The following is an 18,448-nucleotide window of genomic DNA, read 5'->3' on the forward strand; positions in this document are numbered from 1 at the left end:
ACTTGATAAGTTAGAAGCCATTGTTTAAATGCTTCTAACTGAGAAATAGATTTGAGAAAATAGATTGAGTAAAGAAAAATAAGAAAACTTCTTTGATAATAAAACTGTATCAATGCAGATTCCTGAACTTAAAGAGCAAAAAAAAATGCTAAAATTAAATGTTAAGATTGTATTGTGGTCCTTTGTTAAGTAATTTTCCTATGCAGCATAAGGACTTGGAAAAAAATATTAGATTTTAACAGTTGTTAGAGTGTGTGCTCAGAGCTGAAAGAAACACACACACACACACACACACACACACACACACACACACATATACACAAAGGTACCCACTTCTCCAGCTCTTAATCCTTAGGCTAGTCAGATAGGAATAATGCCTGTATGAAAAACAAACAGAAAAAGAGACAATTGGAGAATGAAAAATCTCAAAATAGTTTTCTGTGTAATTATGTCCTAGTAGTTTCTGGAAAGATGAGGGGAAAGGAAATCAAAATGAAATGAATCTTTAAGGTTAGATAAGACATTTTGGAGCTTGCTAAATAAATCAGAAAAATATTATAATATGAGTAATCATATCACTTTATGTAATAAAGGGATATTTTCATTTCACTTTGCTTCTATTTTTCACCTTCTTTAAATTTGTATTAAAAGTTACACATCTCTCAGAAATCAATGTAAAGAAATGACAAAATTATGTGAATATGAAATATATAATAGCAAATGTACAAGGGTAAATGTCCATTTCTGTCAGAAATGATTAGTAGCTTCCACTTTTTTTTATGATTGCAGACCTCTGTAAAATGATTCATGCAATGGCTTGAGGAAATTTTATTTCTCACTTCATATTGAAGAAATGGAAAAAAATAAAACTTTTGAAAGAAAAAAAGTAATGATATCTTCAAATAGTTACATCTCTATATTGGAGAAGAGAAGATTTGAATTAATAACCTTTGGTTTTATGATTGTTAAAAAATAATACTTTTTTCATTCTTTTTTTTTTTTTTTTTTGAGAGGGAGTCTCACTCTGTCGCCCAGGCTGGAGTGCAGTGGCACCATCTTGGCTCACTGCAAGCTCCACCTCCTGGGTTCATGCCACTCTCCTGCCTCAGACTCCCGAGTAGCTGGGACTACAGGCGCCCGCCGCCACACCCGGCTAATTTTTTGTGTTTTTAGTAGAGACGGGGTTTCACTGTGTTAGCCAGGATGGTCTCTATCTCCTGACCTTGTGATCCGCCCACCTTGGCCTTCCAAAGTGCTGGGATTACAGGCGTGAGCCACTGCGCCCAGCCAAAAAAATAATAATACTTTTTTGTATTTTCCTAATTATCATTTGGCTCACTGTAGAAAAGGGGTAAGGGCAGAATATTCTCTAAAACAGTTCCTTCAAAAAACCCACCAGGTTCTCATTTCAGTCTGTGAAATCAACTTAAGTTGATTTGAAATTGCTAATGTTCAATGTTTTTTTTAAAGCATTGCTGAGATAGTTTTATCTGGTATTACAAAAGGTTCATTTTTCAATTTTATCATTCTTGCTGCACTTGTTAGCTTTGATTCTTCTAAAACTAACTGACATTGTTTGGCTGTGTACCCACGGAAACCTCATCTTGAACTGTCTCTCCCATAATCCCCATGTCGTGGGAGGGACCTGATAGGAGGTAATTGAATCATGGGAGTGGATTTTTCCAGTGCGGTTTTTGTCATTGTAAATAAGTCTCACGAGAGATCTGATGGTTTCATAAAGGGCAGCCCCTCTGCGTACGCTCTCTTGCCTGAGGCCACATAAGATGTGCTGTTGCTCCTTTTTTAGCTATTGCCATGATTCTGAGGCCTCCCAGCCATGTGGAACTGTGAGTACATTAAACCTGTTTTTCTTTTTTCTTCTTTTTTTTTTTTTTTGAGACGGAGTCTCGCTCTGTCACCCAGGCTGGAGTACAGTGGCATGATCTCTGTTCACTGCAAGCTCTGCCTTCCGGGTTCATGCCTTTCTCCTGCCTCAGCATCCGGAGTAGCTGGGACTACAGGCGCCTGCAACCACGCCTGGCTAATTTTTTTGTATTTTTAGTAGAGACGGGTTTTCACCGTGTTAGCCGGGATGGTCTTGATCTCCTGACCTCGTGATCCGCCCGCCTCGGCCTCCCAAAATGCTGAGATTACAGGCATGAGCCACCGCGCCCGGCCAAACCTCTTTTTCTCTATAAATTATCCAGTCTTGGGTATTTCTTCATAGCAGTATGAAAACAGGCTAATACACTATTTTTCCCTCATAAGCTATTTGCTTATCCTGAAACATGATCTTTAGATGGGAGGAAAATAAATATTGTATTCTTTCCCTTTATGTATCAATTTTCAGGAAATGACCTTGTATTCTGGCAACCTCCAAAAGGGACTAGTAGTATCACTAGGAACTCACAGCTTATTATACTTTGCTATATTTCAATCCATTGTATCTATTCTTCTTTTTTAAGTTTATTTTTTATTTTAGATTTAGAAGGTACACGTGCAGATTTGTTACATGGGTGTACTACATGATGCTGAGGTTTGGGCTTCTAATGATCCTGTCACCTAAGTAGTGAACATAGTACCCAACAGGTAGTTTTTCAACCTGTGTTCCCCTCTGTCTTTCTCCCTTTTAGAATCTCCAATGTCATTTCTTCCCATCTTTGTTTCTGTGTATACCCAATGTTTAGCTCCCATTTACAAGTGAGAACTAATGTTCAATTTTTTGACCCTAAAAAAATAGCAGTTATATGGCTCAATCTAATAATTAATATATCATGCAAATATATAATATGACTAGAAAGTTGGTTTGTGTAGTGTTTTTGTATTTAGCAACTAAACTAAAAATTATAACTATTTACTGGAGAAATTCTATGAATTTAGTGCTAAAATATTCACATATAGAAAAAAATCAATCTTAGACCTTTTCTGCTGGTAGATAAAACTGCATAGATGCCTGTGGATGCTTCTGCATCATAACCTTTTCACTTGCCCAGACACAGGTCTTTACAACTACAGCTTATTTTGGAAATGAATTGACCTCTGGGAGTCAAGGGGTGAAGCAATATTTTGTTAGGAGTATTCTTCTTCCCAATGTCAGGCAAGATGACAATTTAAGAGCAAAAATAGATTATCTTTTAAAAAGATGTGTTATTTATAGCTATATCCTTTATCTTATTTTTTAAAGCTTTAAAAATGCCCTTTAAAATCTTCAACCATGTCTCATTGTAAATATTAAATGAGAAAATACTTAGTCTTATCATTTCAAATTACATTTTAACTGTTCTAATTCCAGATAATGACAAATGTGTTTCATCCTGAAGGAAGATTATGAGATCTTCCAAAAGACTATATGTTGCTTTTTGACAGGCTTTAAATGGTTTATAATCTATTTCTTCAAAACATGGAAAGAATCATTATTCTAGAACTTCACAGAACAAATAAAATGAAAATATAGGGTAAAGATAGTTAGACACAGTAAAACAAACAAATGTATTAAAAGTAAAAATTTGGATTAATATCTCTTAATATCATGATAAAAATTATATTTTTAATTCTAAAAACATTAAAACATTAATGAAGGAGGTAAAAATTTTTGAATGATTATTATATTACTGTGAATAAAAATATTGACTCCATGAGTTACAAAAAAACAAACCTGAAGTGGTTTTTTGTATAAGAGAAGTTTTCATCCTACAATTTCACTTAAGTTGCTAGCTTTTTACCTAACAAAGACCTGTATAACATCTTACTGCAAATTAAATAACCTTAATCATTTTATGTGGGACATCCTAACACCATGTGAGATATGTTTTGTTATTACTATTTATTTACTATTAAGAAAATATTTTTATGGTTGATATATGTAACCACATAAGTTAAAATGTATTTATTACCATCTATACATTAAACCAGGTTAAATAATAAGAGACATGTTTCAAAGAATTAGCATCATATAAAATAAAAAGCATAACATAGGTTTAGGGAAGGGGAAAAAAGCCATACCAATTAAATATCTATTTAGAGAAATATCCCATAGGTATGCAAAATATACACACAAGGGTATTTGTTGGTTTTGTAAATAACAGCAAAAATCATAAGTAAAATCATTGCCCACTAGTAGGCAAATAATACATAAAATATAATTTCATTAATACTATATAATATTATGGAGCCATTACATTGAATAGAATGCTGTCAGTAAAGAATCTTTAAGAATTAACGTCCAGTGAAAAGAACATGTAGCAAATAGTAGACATTCATCCAGCAAGTATTTATTGCACCTATATACTATGTTCCAAGTGCTGTTCTGGCCTCTAGTGTCTCATTTATTTTAGAACTGAAACAAAAACAAAATTAGTTTCTGTGTTCTTTTCTATGTATATACATAGATTTTAAATTGACTGTAAAAGAGTCTGGAAGAAAGCAAAAAGAAGTTATTTTTGAGAAGCAGAGAAAGTGAGATTGTGATGAGAGAGATCAAATGAAATTTTGTACAGCGGTGCTCCATATCCAGCAGTCCACATTGAAGATTCAACCAAAAGTGAATCAAAAATATTCAAAAAATTAAAAATAATGATATAACAATAAAAATAATACAAACCAAAACACAATACAGTACAACATCTGCTAACCTAGTATTTACATTGTATTAGGAATTATAAGTAATGTAGAGACAATTCAAACTACATATGGGAGGCTATGCATAGATTATTTGCAAATACTTCACCATTTTATATAAGGTTCTTGAACATGCACAGAATTTGGTATTTGTGGGAGTTCTGGAACCAATCACCTGTGGATACAAAGGGATGACTATTTCTGTATTGCTTAACTTTTGATTTTCAAGTTTTCTAACTTGTGTGAGTAGTTGCATAAAGCATAAAGTTTACTGCTAGATTGTCAGTCCCCAAATCATTATGTGGCAAACAGATGCACGTCAGGGTCAGTAACTAATCATGGCACTTCTTTCAAAGTGTGCCAGTGAATGGCCACTGCATCTGTTATTCAGTTCAGGCATACACAGCAAGACCTGTAGTTGTACTAACTCTTTGTCTGAAGTGATGAACCTGTATGGCAGTCACAAAAATGGATAATAGAATGAGACAATTGCCCCATAAAGACGAAAACACAGCAAATAAATGAAACTATAATGGTGTAAGAAACATGAATGAAATGTAAAGAAAGATACAGAAGAAAAAGCTGATCATGGGCATGTTGATGCTGCCACTGTTCTAGAGATTATATACATATCCAGCTAGAAGATCTTACTGAGAGCAAATTTAGAGACATAATAAGGAAAACGGTTGCAAAGAAAAGATAAAGATATTCCAGAGAAAGTAAAAATGCAAAGCAAAAATGTTCACGTTAAAGGAACCCTCAGAGATATGTTACAATATTAAAAAGGGCCAAATTCAACCCTGGGCCTGTTTTTATATGATCTGTAAGCCAAGAATTAAGAAAAAAAAAACTTACATTTTTGATGGATTGCACAAGATGAAAGAGGAGGAAGAGAAAGAGAAGAGCTAGAGATACAAAGATTGCATGTGGTCTGCAAATCTTAAAACATTTGCTATTTGGCCTTTTACAGAAAAATTTGGGGGGCCCTGCTTCAGAATAATGGACATCAATAATAAAGTAAAAAGGAGAAAAACTTGTTAATTGACTTGAGAATCATGTCACAAAAGGACTTAGATGGCAATGTAAATAATTTTTACGCTTCTTAAGCAGCAAGAGACGGTTGAATTATATTTAATAGCCTCTTGAAGGAAAGTTATGGAGGGTCTCTACAGAGTCACTGCATGATGAGACTCCTAGGTTTACATGCTTGTTGAGAGCATTTCAAACCCAGATATGTATGCCTATACTGTCCTTACAGATCTTCATGATCCTTGTAGTGGCCAGAAACATCACTCAGAGGTTCACATTCTAACATATTTCTGCCTAAAGCTAGATGTCTTTCTTAACTTGAAAATCCTTGATTTTATAAGGTGAATTCATTGCATTCATTGCCAATGTGATATATTATTTTCAAGGAAATGGACACTATATTTGGCAGTGGTGATGCCAAAGGCCCAGACACATACAATTTAGTCTGGTAAATTTTCACTTCTCTAGGAGTATATGTAAGTTTCAAAGATAACCAAAACAAAATCTTAAGTGGACTATTAAATAAGCCACACAGAAATGCGTTGTGCTCATAATATTTTATAAGATAAGTTTATCTTTAGAGCAGTTTTAGAGAAATTACATCAATTACAGGGGAAATCCCTAAGCTAACTTGACAGAAGAGGCATTGTAGAATATTGGATGTAGATTTTCATAGCAAAGTCACTAATTGTAAGAGAAAATACAGAATAGTATTTACATATTCTAACACCTTATATTTTTAGCCTTAAGATAATTTTCATGTTTTATATGGACAGCCTTCTAAAACAGATGTTTTCAACCTCTTTCAGAAAAGATAAGAGACTTGAAATTTTGAAGATGGTTTGATGTGGACAAGGGAATAATTTCAATCTTGTCCTGAGCAGTAGACTTTAAACACTGACCGACTGCTGCTCTGATTAACCTCTAGAGTATGACTCCATTCTCATAGAAGTAAATGTGGAGAGTTTAGGGTTTGTAAATTGGCAACATTTTTTTTCTGAAACAAAGAAATAAACCCCTGATTTTTTGATATTTTCTTACTGATTCCCCACATAAACCACTGTATTATGTGACTAAGGTTGCATTTTAAACATTTCAAACTGGTAGCAGATTATGGGTTAAGAAAGGAAGGTACAATGGGAATAGCACTGAATCTATAAATTACTCTGGGCAGTATGGCCATTTTCACGATATTGATTCTTCCTATCTATGAGCATGGAATGTTTTTCCATTTGTTTGTGTCCCCTATTTCCTTGAGCAGTGGTTTGTAGTTCTCCTTGAAGAGATCCTTCACATCCCTTGTTAGCTGTATTCCCAGGTATTTTATTCTCTTTGTAGCAATTGTGAATGGGAGTTCAATCATGATTTGGCTCTCTTTACACCATTGTTGGTGTAAAGAAATGCTTGTGATTTTTGCACATCAATTTTGAATCCTGAGACTTTGTTGAAGTTGCTTATCAGTTTAAGGAGTTTTTGGGCTCAGATGTTGGAGTTTCCTAAATATAGGATCATGTTGTCTGCAAACAGAGACAATTTGACGGCCTCTCTTCCTATTTGAATACCGTTTATTTCTTTCACTTGCCTAATTGCCCTGGCCAGAACTTCCAATACTATGTTGAATAGGAGTGGTGAGACAGGGCATCCTTCTCTTGTACCGGTTTTCAAAGAGAATGCTTCCAGCTTTTGCCCATTCAATATGATATTGGCTGTAGGCTTGTCATAAATACCTCTTACTATTTTGAGATATGTTCCATCAATATCTAGTTTATTCAGAGTTTTTAACATGAAAGGATATTGAATTTTATCAAAGGTCTTGTCTGTGTCTATTGAGATAATTATGTGATTTTTGTCTTTGGTTCTGTTTATGTGATGGATTATGTTTGTTGATTTGTGTATGTTAAACCAGCATTGCATCCCAGGGATGAAGCTGACTTGATCGTGGTGGATAAGTTTTTTGATGTGCTGCTGGATTCGGTTTGCCAGTATTTTATTGAGGATTTTTGAATCAATGTTCATCAGGGATATTGGCTTGAAGTTTTCTTTTTTTGTTATATCTCTTCCTAGTTTTGGTATCACAATGATGCTGTCCTCATAAAATGAGTTAGGGAGGAGTCCTTCTTTTACTACTGTTCGGAATAGTTTCAGAAGGAATGGCATCAGCTCCTCTTTGTACCTCTGGTAGAATTCGGCTGTGAATCCATCTGGTCCCAGGTTATTTTTGGTTCGTAGGCTATTAATTACTGCCTCAATTTCAGAACTTGTTATTGGTATATTCAGGAAGTCGACTTCTTCCTGGTTTGGTCTGGGGAGGGTGTATGTATCTAGGAATTTATCCATTTCTTATAGATTTTCTAGTTTATTACAGGCGTGAGCCACCGCACCTCCCCCCTTTTTTTTAGAAGAAATAAAATTTAAAAGGAAAAAAAGAGGCCGGGTGCAGTGGCTCATGCCTGTAATTCCAGCACTTTGGGAGGCCAAGGTGGGCATAACACCTGAGGTTAGGAGTTCAAGACCAGCCAGGCCAATATGGTGAAACTGTGTCTCTACTAAAAATACAAAAAATTAGCTGAGCGTGGTGGCAGGTGCCTGTAGTTCTAGCTACTCAGGATGCTGTGGCAGGAGATTCACTTGAACCCGGGAGGCAGAGGTTGAAGTGCTTGAACCTGGGAGGCAGAGGTTGAAATAAGCCGAGATCACGCCATTGCACTCTAGCCTGGGCAACAAGAGCAAAACTCCATCTCAAAAAAAAAAAAAAGAAAAAAGAAAGAAAGGTATGCAGGAGGCCATAACTCCAGAGATGAGGAGGCCTAAGCACCAATTATCTTGGAGTATAAAGTCCTAAACTATTATAAAAGGGAGGGTGTGAACCATAATAACATCAACAGTAATAATTCTGCCATATAGTTTGACTGTTAAGTAGACAGAAATTTTAATCAACTGATGTGGAATACATATATACCTGCAAACACACACATAAAGGGACAGAAATATTTTTAAATACCGTACAATTGACACTGCTTTGTCAGATTTGGGCATTATATGGGGAATGCCACATTATAAAAATTAGTATACCTTATTTCTCAGAGTATTGAATCTTTTTTATAGATAAACAACTTCTGTCACCCAGGCTGGATGATCTTTCAAAACTTACTGCAGCCTCATACTCCTTGGTTCAGGTGATCCTACTGCCTGAGCCTCCTGAGTAACTGAAACAACAGGGGCACATCACTATATCCGGCTAATTTTTTATTTTTATTTTTCTGTAAAGACAGATTGGGCTTTCCTTCCCAGGCTGTCAGAGTATTTGTATCTCAAGTTTTTGTTGTTGTTGTTGTTGTTGTTTATGTTTTGCAATTTTTGAGTTGAGTTTGTTTGCCTTCGAGATATCAAAACAGATAAAAACTTCCCCCTTTTAATAATTTAATCTTTGTAACATTTCACAAGCTGTAATAACTTCTCGTTACAATGGATATGATAGCATTTCTTTTGTGTTCCTGATATTGCTAAAGAGACACCTGATTGTTTCCAAAACTGAAGTGCTTTAAATGAGAAAATACTATAATAAAATGATCACTTTTCAACCCTAAAAGAAATAAAACTTCAGAAGATAATATGGGTTCAAAAAGAAAATATCAGAAGGAAATTAGTAAAATAACTATCAAGATATAGGAAAAATAATTCATCTGAAATTTTTATTCAAGCAAAATTAATACAAACATTTATATTCTAAAAATGTGTCCTGTCATTTAGGACAATCAAAGAAGATAAGAACCAGATATTCTTAGCTTGGTGGAGATTGTATGATTCAATGGAAACTCCTTTTGATTGCTAACCTAAACTGGAAATTTAGGGAGTGCCATATCAAAGTGATACAAAGGGATGACAACTTTTTGAGATAAGTGAGAAGTAATTCCTGAAAGGTTAGGCAAAGCAAAAGAAAATATACAAGTGGTAAATTTAAAGTTTTGTCAGTAAATGGATTAGAAAAGCCAGAAAAACTATAAATGTGAGAATGAAGGAAAGACACAGGTTCTATTGGGAAGAACATTGTATTCTGTGATTAGAGGAAGCAGTGTATCCAAACAACAAAATAGAATAAAGATCATAAGTGAGAAGCTAGTTGTCTCTTTTCCTAGACTCAGATATACAATTGTATATAAATAAATGCATAGCACACACAGTATATCAGGTACCTACTATAAACCAGATGATTATTTCATTGGTAGAATTCATGTTATCCACCACTAAATGACTCATTTAACATCAAATAGCCTAAATTCAGGCATCTCTTAAATCCCATATTAGTTTCATTGCAAGCAACAAAGATCCAAACCAAAATAATTTGATCATAAAGAATTTCATGTAATAAAAATAATAAAAAAGACAACTGCAGCTTGATGTAGATGGCCAATGAGGCTACTTATGTCTTGGCTTACAGACTCTCCCTTTGCAGAATGTTTGCAAGATCTCCAGCCCTTACTTGCCATCTAGTTCATATGTCATGGGGAAGAAGTTCTGACTCTGTTCCATAATTCCAAGCCAAATCTTGTAACTTTATGGCTCCAGTGAGAAACAGACCCTATACGGATATGATACACAGACGGGCTTAAGGTTGGGATGCATTCTTTCCACCTAAGCCAGGCCTCTCTCAGCTGAAATTCATTAACTTGGAGTTGAGCAGATAAAGATAAAAGGTCTCCAAATTAAACATACAGGTATTTTCCACATGAATAGGACAATACTATAGCTCACTGGTAGGCATGGGAATGGGAAATTAAAATTAACTCCAATTTTGCTTTTCAAAGTTGCCGTGTTTCTGTGGTTATTAGAGTTTACCTTAATGGAAGTATATATCAGTTAATTGTTCTGGTTGTGGTGCTAACCTCAACTACATTTGTCACTTTGTAATAATGGTTTAAATTTCAGCAGGTTGTTAACATCTAGATTTCCTTTCTGTAATATGAGGATCTTAAGAGTACCTATTTGATAAGGTTTTGTGATGCATAAATGAGGTATCATATGAAAACTCTTCACACGGAAACTAACATATAGCATTTTCTCAATAGGAGATGACATGGAGAAGGGATAATTTAAACTCAGATAACTGTAAAAACCTGGAAAGAGATAAAAAAAAGCGTAAGTAGTTTGAACAAGCATGAAAAATGAAAGCATCAGGCAAGAAATTCTGCTTATAAATGTCTTCATCACAAAATGATTAATAGTTAAAAAAAAAACCTAAAAGAAAAACTAAGTGGTTTGTTCATGTAAAAGTCCAATAGCAAGAAAACAAATGTCAGTCAAGCTTAGATAAACAAGAGTAAATTTTTTTTTCTGTTTATACTTAGTCCTGTCATTTCATACAATAGCTGCAAACGAACTAGATTCTAGTCATTTCATGATTAATTCATTATTTCAATAGTTTTTTTTTTTTTGGTGATTTGGGGGATTTACTAAATTGATCTATGATTGAACCTTTATCTACTAAAGAATCATTTCCATCAACCTCTATGCTATAGGAATGATATCTATGTTCACTGGGGAGGGTTGATTACATATGTGATGGGAACATCCAATGCTTATTTGGAATTAGTCCATGTTGAATTTCTTCTACTGTGGTATATAATTCCCACTGGGCCTGAGCTCGCGTCAATTCTTGAAGTTGAGTTACTGGTCACGCTATAGCACCTTCTCAATACATCTTCAAACCTGAACTCCTCTTGCCAGAAGTTTAGAGCTCTTTTTGGTCTAACTGTTTTCTCTTAAACCTTTCAGAACTTCCTGAAAACAATGGAAAACTTGGTTGACCTCTCTACACAACCCTGTGGTGCACAGGCCTGTGAGTCATCTCAGATCCTTTCTTCCCATACACTCTGGTAGCCATTGCTACTCTATTGCTTTTGTGCCACACTGAATGTCTCTACTAGGATTATAGCTTCCAAGCAGGTGACACTGGTAAGTGGTTGGATTCTGACCTATTTCAAGAATCTTCCTGTTACCTGATAGAGCACTCCAACAAAATTCTAATCGATGCAAAAACAGATACACAGTGTTTGTTAAGGTTCTTTTGAGCTCTGATATTTTCTGTTTTTTCACATCTTTTCCCTCATCTATCTTTTTGTAATTCCAATGCTGTGTGATATAACTTTGTTCATTTAATTCATTGTCAACTAAGTGTGATTAAGTCTTAATTGTTACAACTTTTCAACCTAGAGTATTTGAACCATAAAACATATATTTTGGCAATTTGGATTCTTTCTTAACTAACTTCATTAAATATTTTCAGAGTTTTTCCTATGTTCTAAACACACAGAAATGGTAGTACACCAAAAGAAGACAGCAATACAATGATTACTATCAACAATTCAAAGCACACACATATATATATAAGCACATGCATATATATATAAGCACATGTGTATATATATGCACATATATACATATATATGCATCTCAAGTTCAAGTAGAAAAGAGAAGTGCAACATTTTAAGATTAGATATTTATCACATGTAGCAGGTGCTATAAATCTAACCAGCCTAATAGAAGTCAGAAAATTATCAGGAAAGCTGTTTCCTCCTGCTTGTTGAAATTTAAGGCCACTTTCAATTTCTCTTAAATCATTTTGGTTGTTCAGCAAAATTTTCGTCTCCTAACACCTACCATTTTTCTCTTCTGCTGCTCCAGCTCATTTTACCTAACTGTAGATGCAATTCAAAGTTTGATTATGGACTGGGAGCATCAGTATCACATGGGAATATTTTTCAAATGCAGAATCTCCAATCCCACCCCTCAGCTGCTGAATCAGAATCTTTAATTTCGGTATGATCCCGAAGTGATTCATATGCATGTTATATTTATATGAAGGTGATTTATATTCACATGCCAAGAACTGCATTAGATGTCCGAAGTGGAATGGATATTGCCAATGACTAGTTATCATGCCAGCAGGGCTAGTGCATGCCACTAGTACCCCGTGCACTGGCTCCTGTCTATGTCCACACAGAAGCTGCTAATGTCCAGTGTCAATGGTGCTAATATTTGCTTCTAGGGCATTGTCCTGACATTGCTACAGCAACTGAACACCATCAGCTATCATATCTTAGAGGGTACTTTCAGCAATGCTGTTAATGCTGTATGTTAAAGTCAAATGTCAGTCAAATATAGTTAAAGTCGTGTTTGCTTATACTTTACCTTTCTATTCTAGGCCTGAAAACCATGAATCTAAAGTAGCTAGTTTCAACATAATCTGAGTGACAGACATTGTACTTTAATTTGAATTACTCACTCTCTCAGATATTGGCCAATTGTCTAATAAAACAAAAGTACTATCTTCCACAGATGATTTCTTTCTCTAGAAAGCTGTTGTTTAAAAAAACATTCCAAATAAATCTATGCCTACTACTGTGCCCAGTCATTTCTGAATCCTAAATTGACACATTTTACTCAAAATCTAAGGTCCTTAAGTATCTGAACTTTTTTGAAATAGGACTGAAAAAATCCCAATTCACCAAATTGGTTGTTTAGTCTCTATTTTGTTTTAAGGAGAGAGATTATTTTGACAGATTGATGGAGCATTTCAAGTTTCAGGATGACAGTGTATAATTTTCCACAATTTGAGTAAATGGACTTTTCTCTTTTTTTTGAGATGGAGTGTCGCTCTCACCCAGGCTGGAGTGCAGCAGCGCCATCTCGGCTCACTGCAAGCTCCGCCTCCCAGGTTCACGCCATTCTCCTGCCTCAGCCTCCGGAGTAGCTGGGACTACAGGCACTTGCTACCATGCCCGGCTAATTTTTTTGTAGAGACGGGGTTTCGCCATGTTAGCCAGGATGGTCTGGATCTCCTGACCTCGTGATCCGCCCGCCTCAGCCTCCCAAAGTGCTGGGATTACAGGCGTGAGCCACCGCGCCCGGCCAAATGGACTTTTCTTTCTTTTTTTTTTTTTTAATTAATTTTTTTTATTATTATACTTTAAGTTTTAGGGTACATGTGCCCATTGTGCAGGTTAGTTACATATGTATACATGTGCCATGCTGGTGTGCTGCACCCACTAACTCGTCATCTAGCATTAGGTATATCTCCCAATGCTATCCCTCCCCCCTCCCCCCACCCCACAACCGTCCCCAGAGTGTGATATTCCCCTTCCTGTGTCCATGTGATCTCATTGTTCAATTCCCACCTACGAGCGAGAATATGCGGTGTTTGGTTTTTTGTTCTTGCGATAGTTTACTGAGAATGATGATTTCCAATTTCATCCATGTCCCTACAAAGGACATGAACTCATCATTTTTTATGGCTGCATAGTATTCCATGGTGTATATGTGCCACATTTTCTTAATCCAGTCTATCATTGTTGGACATTTGGGTTGGTTCCAAGTCTTTGCTATTGTGAATAATGCCGCAATAAACATACGTGTGCATGTGTCTTTATAGCAGCATGATTTATAGTCCTTTGGGTATATACCCAGTAATGGGATGGCTGGGTCAAATGGTATTTCCAGTTCTAGATCCCTGAGGAATCGTCACACTGACTTCCACAATGGTTGAACTAGTTTACAGTTCCACCAACAGTGTAAAAGTGTTCCTATTTCTCCACATCCTCTCCAGCACCTGTTGTTTCCTGACTTGTTAATGATTGCCATTCTAACTGGTATGAGATGGTATCTCATTGTGGTTTTGAATTGCATTTCTCTGATGGCCAGTGATGATGAGCATTTTTCATGTGTTTTTTGGCTGCATAAATGTCTTCTTTTGAGAAGTGTCTGTTCATGTCCTTCGCCCACTTTTTGATGGGGTTGTTTGTTTTTTTCTTGTAAATTTGTTTGAGTTCATTGTAGATTCTGGATATTAGCCCTTTGTCAGATGAGTAGGTTGCGAAAATTTTCTCCCATTTTGTAGGTTGCCTGTTCATTCTGATGGTAGTTTCTTTTGCTGTGCAGAAGCTCTTTAGTTTAATTAGTTCCCATTTGTCAATTTTGTCTTTTGTTGCCATTGCTTTTGGTGTTTTAGACATGAAGTCCTTGCCCGTGCCTATGTCCTGAATGGTAATGCCTAGGTTTTCTTCTAGGGTTTTTATGGTTTTAGGTCTAACGTTTAAGTCTTTAATCCATCTTGAATTGATTTTTGTATAAGGTGTAAGGAAGGGATCCAGTTTCAGCTTTCTACATATGGCTAGCCAGTTTTCCCAGCACCATTTATTAAATAGGGAATCCTTTCCCCATTGCTTGTTTTTCTCAGGTTTGTCAAAGATCAGATAGTTGTAGATATGCGGCGTTATTTCTGAGGGCTCTGTTCTGTTCCATTGGTCTATATCTCTGTTTTGGTACCAGTACCATGCTGTTTTGGTTACTGTAGCCTTGTAGTATAGTTTGAAGTCAGGTAGTGTGATGCCTCCAGCTTTGTTCTTTTGGCTTAGGATTGACTTGGCGATGCGGGCTCTTTTTTGGTTCCATATGAACTTTAAAGTAGTTTTTTCCAATTCTGTGAAGAAAGTCATTGGTAGCTTGATGGGGATGGCATTGAATCTGTAAATTACCTTGGGCAGTATGGCCATTTTCACGATATTGATTCTTCCTACCCATGAGCATGGAATGTTCTTCCATTTGTTTGTATCCTCTTTTATTTCCTTGAGCAGTGGTTTGTAGTTCTCCTGGAAGGGGTCCTTCACATCCCTTGTAAGTTGGATTCCTAGGTATTTTATTCTCTTTGAAGCAATTGTGAATGGGAGTTCACTCATGATTTGGCTCTCTGTGTGTCTGTTGTTGGTGTATAAGAATGCCTGTGATTTTTGTACATTGATTTTGTATCCTGAGACTTTGCTGAAGTTGCTTATCAGCTTAAGGAGATTTTGGGCTGAGACAATGGGGTTTTCTAGATAAACAATCATGTCGTCTGCAAAGAGGGACAATTTGACTTCCTCTTTTCCTAATTGAATACCCTTTATGTCCTTCTCCTGTCTAATTGCCCTGGCCAGAACTTCCAATAGTATGTTGAATAGGAGTGGTGAGAGAGGGCATCCCTGTCTTGTACCAGTTTTTAAAGAGAATGCTTCCAGTTTTTGCCCATTCAGTATGATATTGGCTGTGGGTTTGTCATAGATAGCTCTTATTATTTTGAAATACGTCCCATCAATACCTAATTTATTGAGAGTTTTTAGCATGAAGGGTTGTTGAATTTTGTCAAAGGCTTTTTCTGCATCTACTGAGATAATCATGTGGTTTTTGTCTTTGGCTCTGTTTATATGCTGGATTACATTTATTGATTTGCGTATATTGAACCAGCCTTGCATCCCAGGGATGAAGCCCACTTGATCATGGTGGATAAGCTTTTTGATGTGCTGCTGGATTCGTTTTGCCAGTATTTTATTGAGGATTTTTGCATCAATGTTCATCAAGGATATTGGTCTAAAATTCTCTTTTTTGGTTGTGTCTCTGCCTGGCTTTGGTATCACAATGATGCTGGCCTCATAAAATGAGTTAGGGAGGATTCCCTCTTTTTCTTTTGATTGGAATAGTTTCAGAAGGAATGGTACCAGTTCCTCCTTGTACCTCTGGTAGAATTCGGCTGTGAATCCATCTGGTCCTGGACTCTGTTTGGTTGGTAAGCTATTGATTATTGCCACAATTTCAGCTCCTGTTATTGGTCTATTCAGAGATTCAACTTCTTCCTGGTTTAGTCTTGGGAGAGTGTATGTGTCAAGGAATTTATCCATTTCTTCTAGATTTTCTAGTTTATTTGCGTAGAGGTGTTTGTAGTATTCTCTGATGGTAGTTTGTATTTCTGTGGGATCGGTGGTGATATCCCCTTTATCATTTTTTATTGTGTCTATTTGATTCTTCTCTCTTTTTTTCTTTATTAGTCTTGCTAGCGGTCTATCAATTTTGTTGATCCTTTCAAAAAACCAGCTCCTGGATTCATTAATTTTTTGAAGAGTTTTTTGTGTCTCTATTTCCTTCAGTTCTGCTCTGATTTTAGTTATTTCTTGCCTTCTGCAAGCTTTGGAATGTGTTTGCTCTTGCTTTTCTAGTTCTTTTAATTGTGATGTTAGGGTGTCAATTTTGGATCTTTCCTGCTTTCTCTTGTGGGCATTTAGTGCTATAAATTTCCCTCTACACACTGCTTTGAATGTGTCCCAGAGATTCTGGTATGTTGTGTCTTTGTTCTCGTTGGTTTCAAAGAACATCTTTATTTCTGCCTTCATTTCGTTATGTACCCAGTAGTCATTCAGGAGCAGGTTGTTCAGTTTCCATGTAGTTGAGTGGTTTTGAGTGAGATTCTTAATCCTGAGTTGTAGTTTGATTTTGCTGTGGTCTGAGAGATAGTTTGTTATAATTTCTGTTCTTTTACATTTGCTGAGGAGAGCTTTACTTCCAAGTATGTGGTCAATTTTGGAATAGGTGTGGTGTGGTGCTGAAAAAAATGTATATTCTGTTGATTTGGGGTGGAGAGTTCTGTAGATGTCTATTAGGTCTGCTTGGTGCAGAGCTGAGTTCAATTCCTGGGTATCCTTGTTGACTTTCTGTCTCGTTGATCTGTCTAATGTTGACAGTGGGGTGTTAAAGTCTCCCATTATTAATGTGTGGGAGTCTAAGTCTCTTTGTAGGTCACTCAGGACTTGCTTTATGAATCTGGGTGCTCCTGTATTGGGTGCATATATATTTAGGATAGTTAGCTCTTCTTGCTGAATTGATCCCTTTACCATTATGTAATGGCCTTCTTTGTCTCTTTTGATCTTTGTTCGTTTAAAGTCTGTTTTAACAGAGACTAGGATTGCAACCCCTGCCTTTTTTTGTTTTCCATTGGCTTGGTAGATCTTCCTCCATCCTTTTATTTTGAGCCTATGTGTGTCTCTGCACGTGAGATGGGTTTCCCGAATACAGCACACTGATGGGTCTTGACTCTTTATCCAATTTGCCAGTCTGTGTCTTTTAATTGGAGCATTTAGTCCATTTACATTTAAAGTTAATATTGTTACGTGTGAATTTGATCCTGTCATTATGAAGTTACCTGGTTATTTTGCTCATTAGTTGATGCAGTTTCATCCTAGTCTCGATGGTCTTTACATTTTGGCATGATTTTGCAGTGGCTGGTACCGGTTGTTCCTTTCCATGTTTAGTGCTTCCTTCAGGAGCTCTTGTAAGGCAGGCCTGGTTGTGACAAAATCTCTCAGCATTTGCTTGTCTGTAAAGTATTTTATTTCTCCTTCACTTATGAAGCTTAGTTTGGCTGGATATGAAATTCTGGGTTGAAAATTCTTTTCTTTAAGAATGTTGAATATTGGCCCCCACTCTCTTCTGGCTTGTAGGGTTTCTGCCGAGAGATCCGCTGTTAGTCTGATGGGCTTCCCTTTGAGGGTAACCCGACCTTTCTCTCTGGCTGCCCTTAACACTTTTTCCTTCATTTCAACTTTGGTGAATCTGACAATTATGTGTCTTGGAGTTGCTCTTCTTGAGGAGTATCTTTGTGGCGTTCTCTATATTTCCTGAATCTGAACATTGGCCTGCCTTGCTAGATTGGGGAAGTTCTCCTGGATAATATCCTGCAGAGTGTTTTCCAACTTGGTTCCATTCTCCCCATCACTTTCAGGTACACCAATCAGACGTAGATTTGGTCTTTTCACATAGTCCCCTATTTCTTGGAGGCTTTGCTCATTTCTTTTTATTCTTTTTTCTCTAAACTTCCCTTCTCACTTCATTTCATTCATTTCATCTTCCATTGCTGATACCCTTTCTTCCAGTTGATCGCATCGGCTCCTGAGGCTTCTGCATTCTTCACGTAGTTCTCGAGCCTTGGTTTTCAGCTCCATCA

This window comes from Homo sapiens, chromosome 2 (assembly GCF_000001405.40).
Source record: "Homo sapiens chromosome 2, GRCh38.p14 Primary Assembly".
NCBI classification, from domain to species: Eukaryota; Metazoa; Chordata; class Mammalia; order Primates; family Hominidae; genus Homo; species Homo sapiens.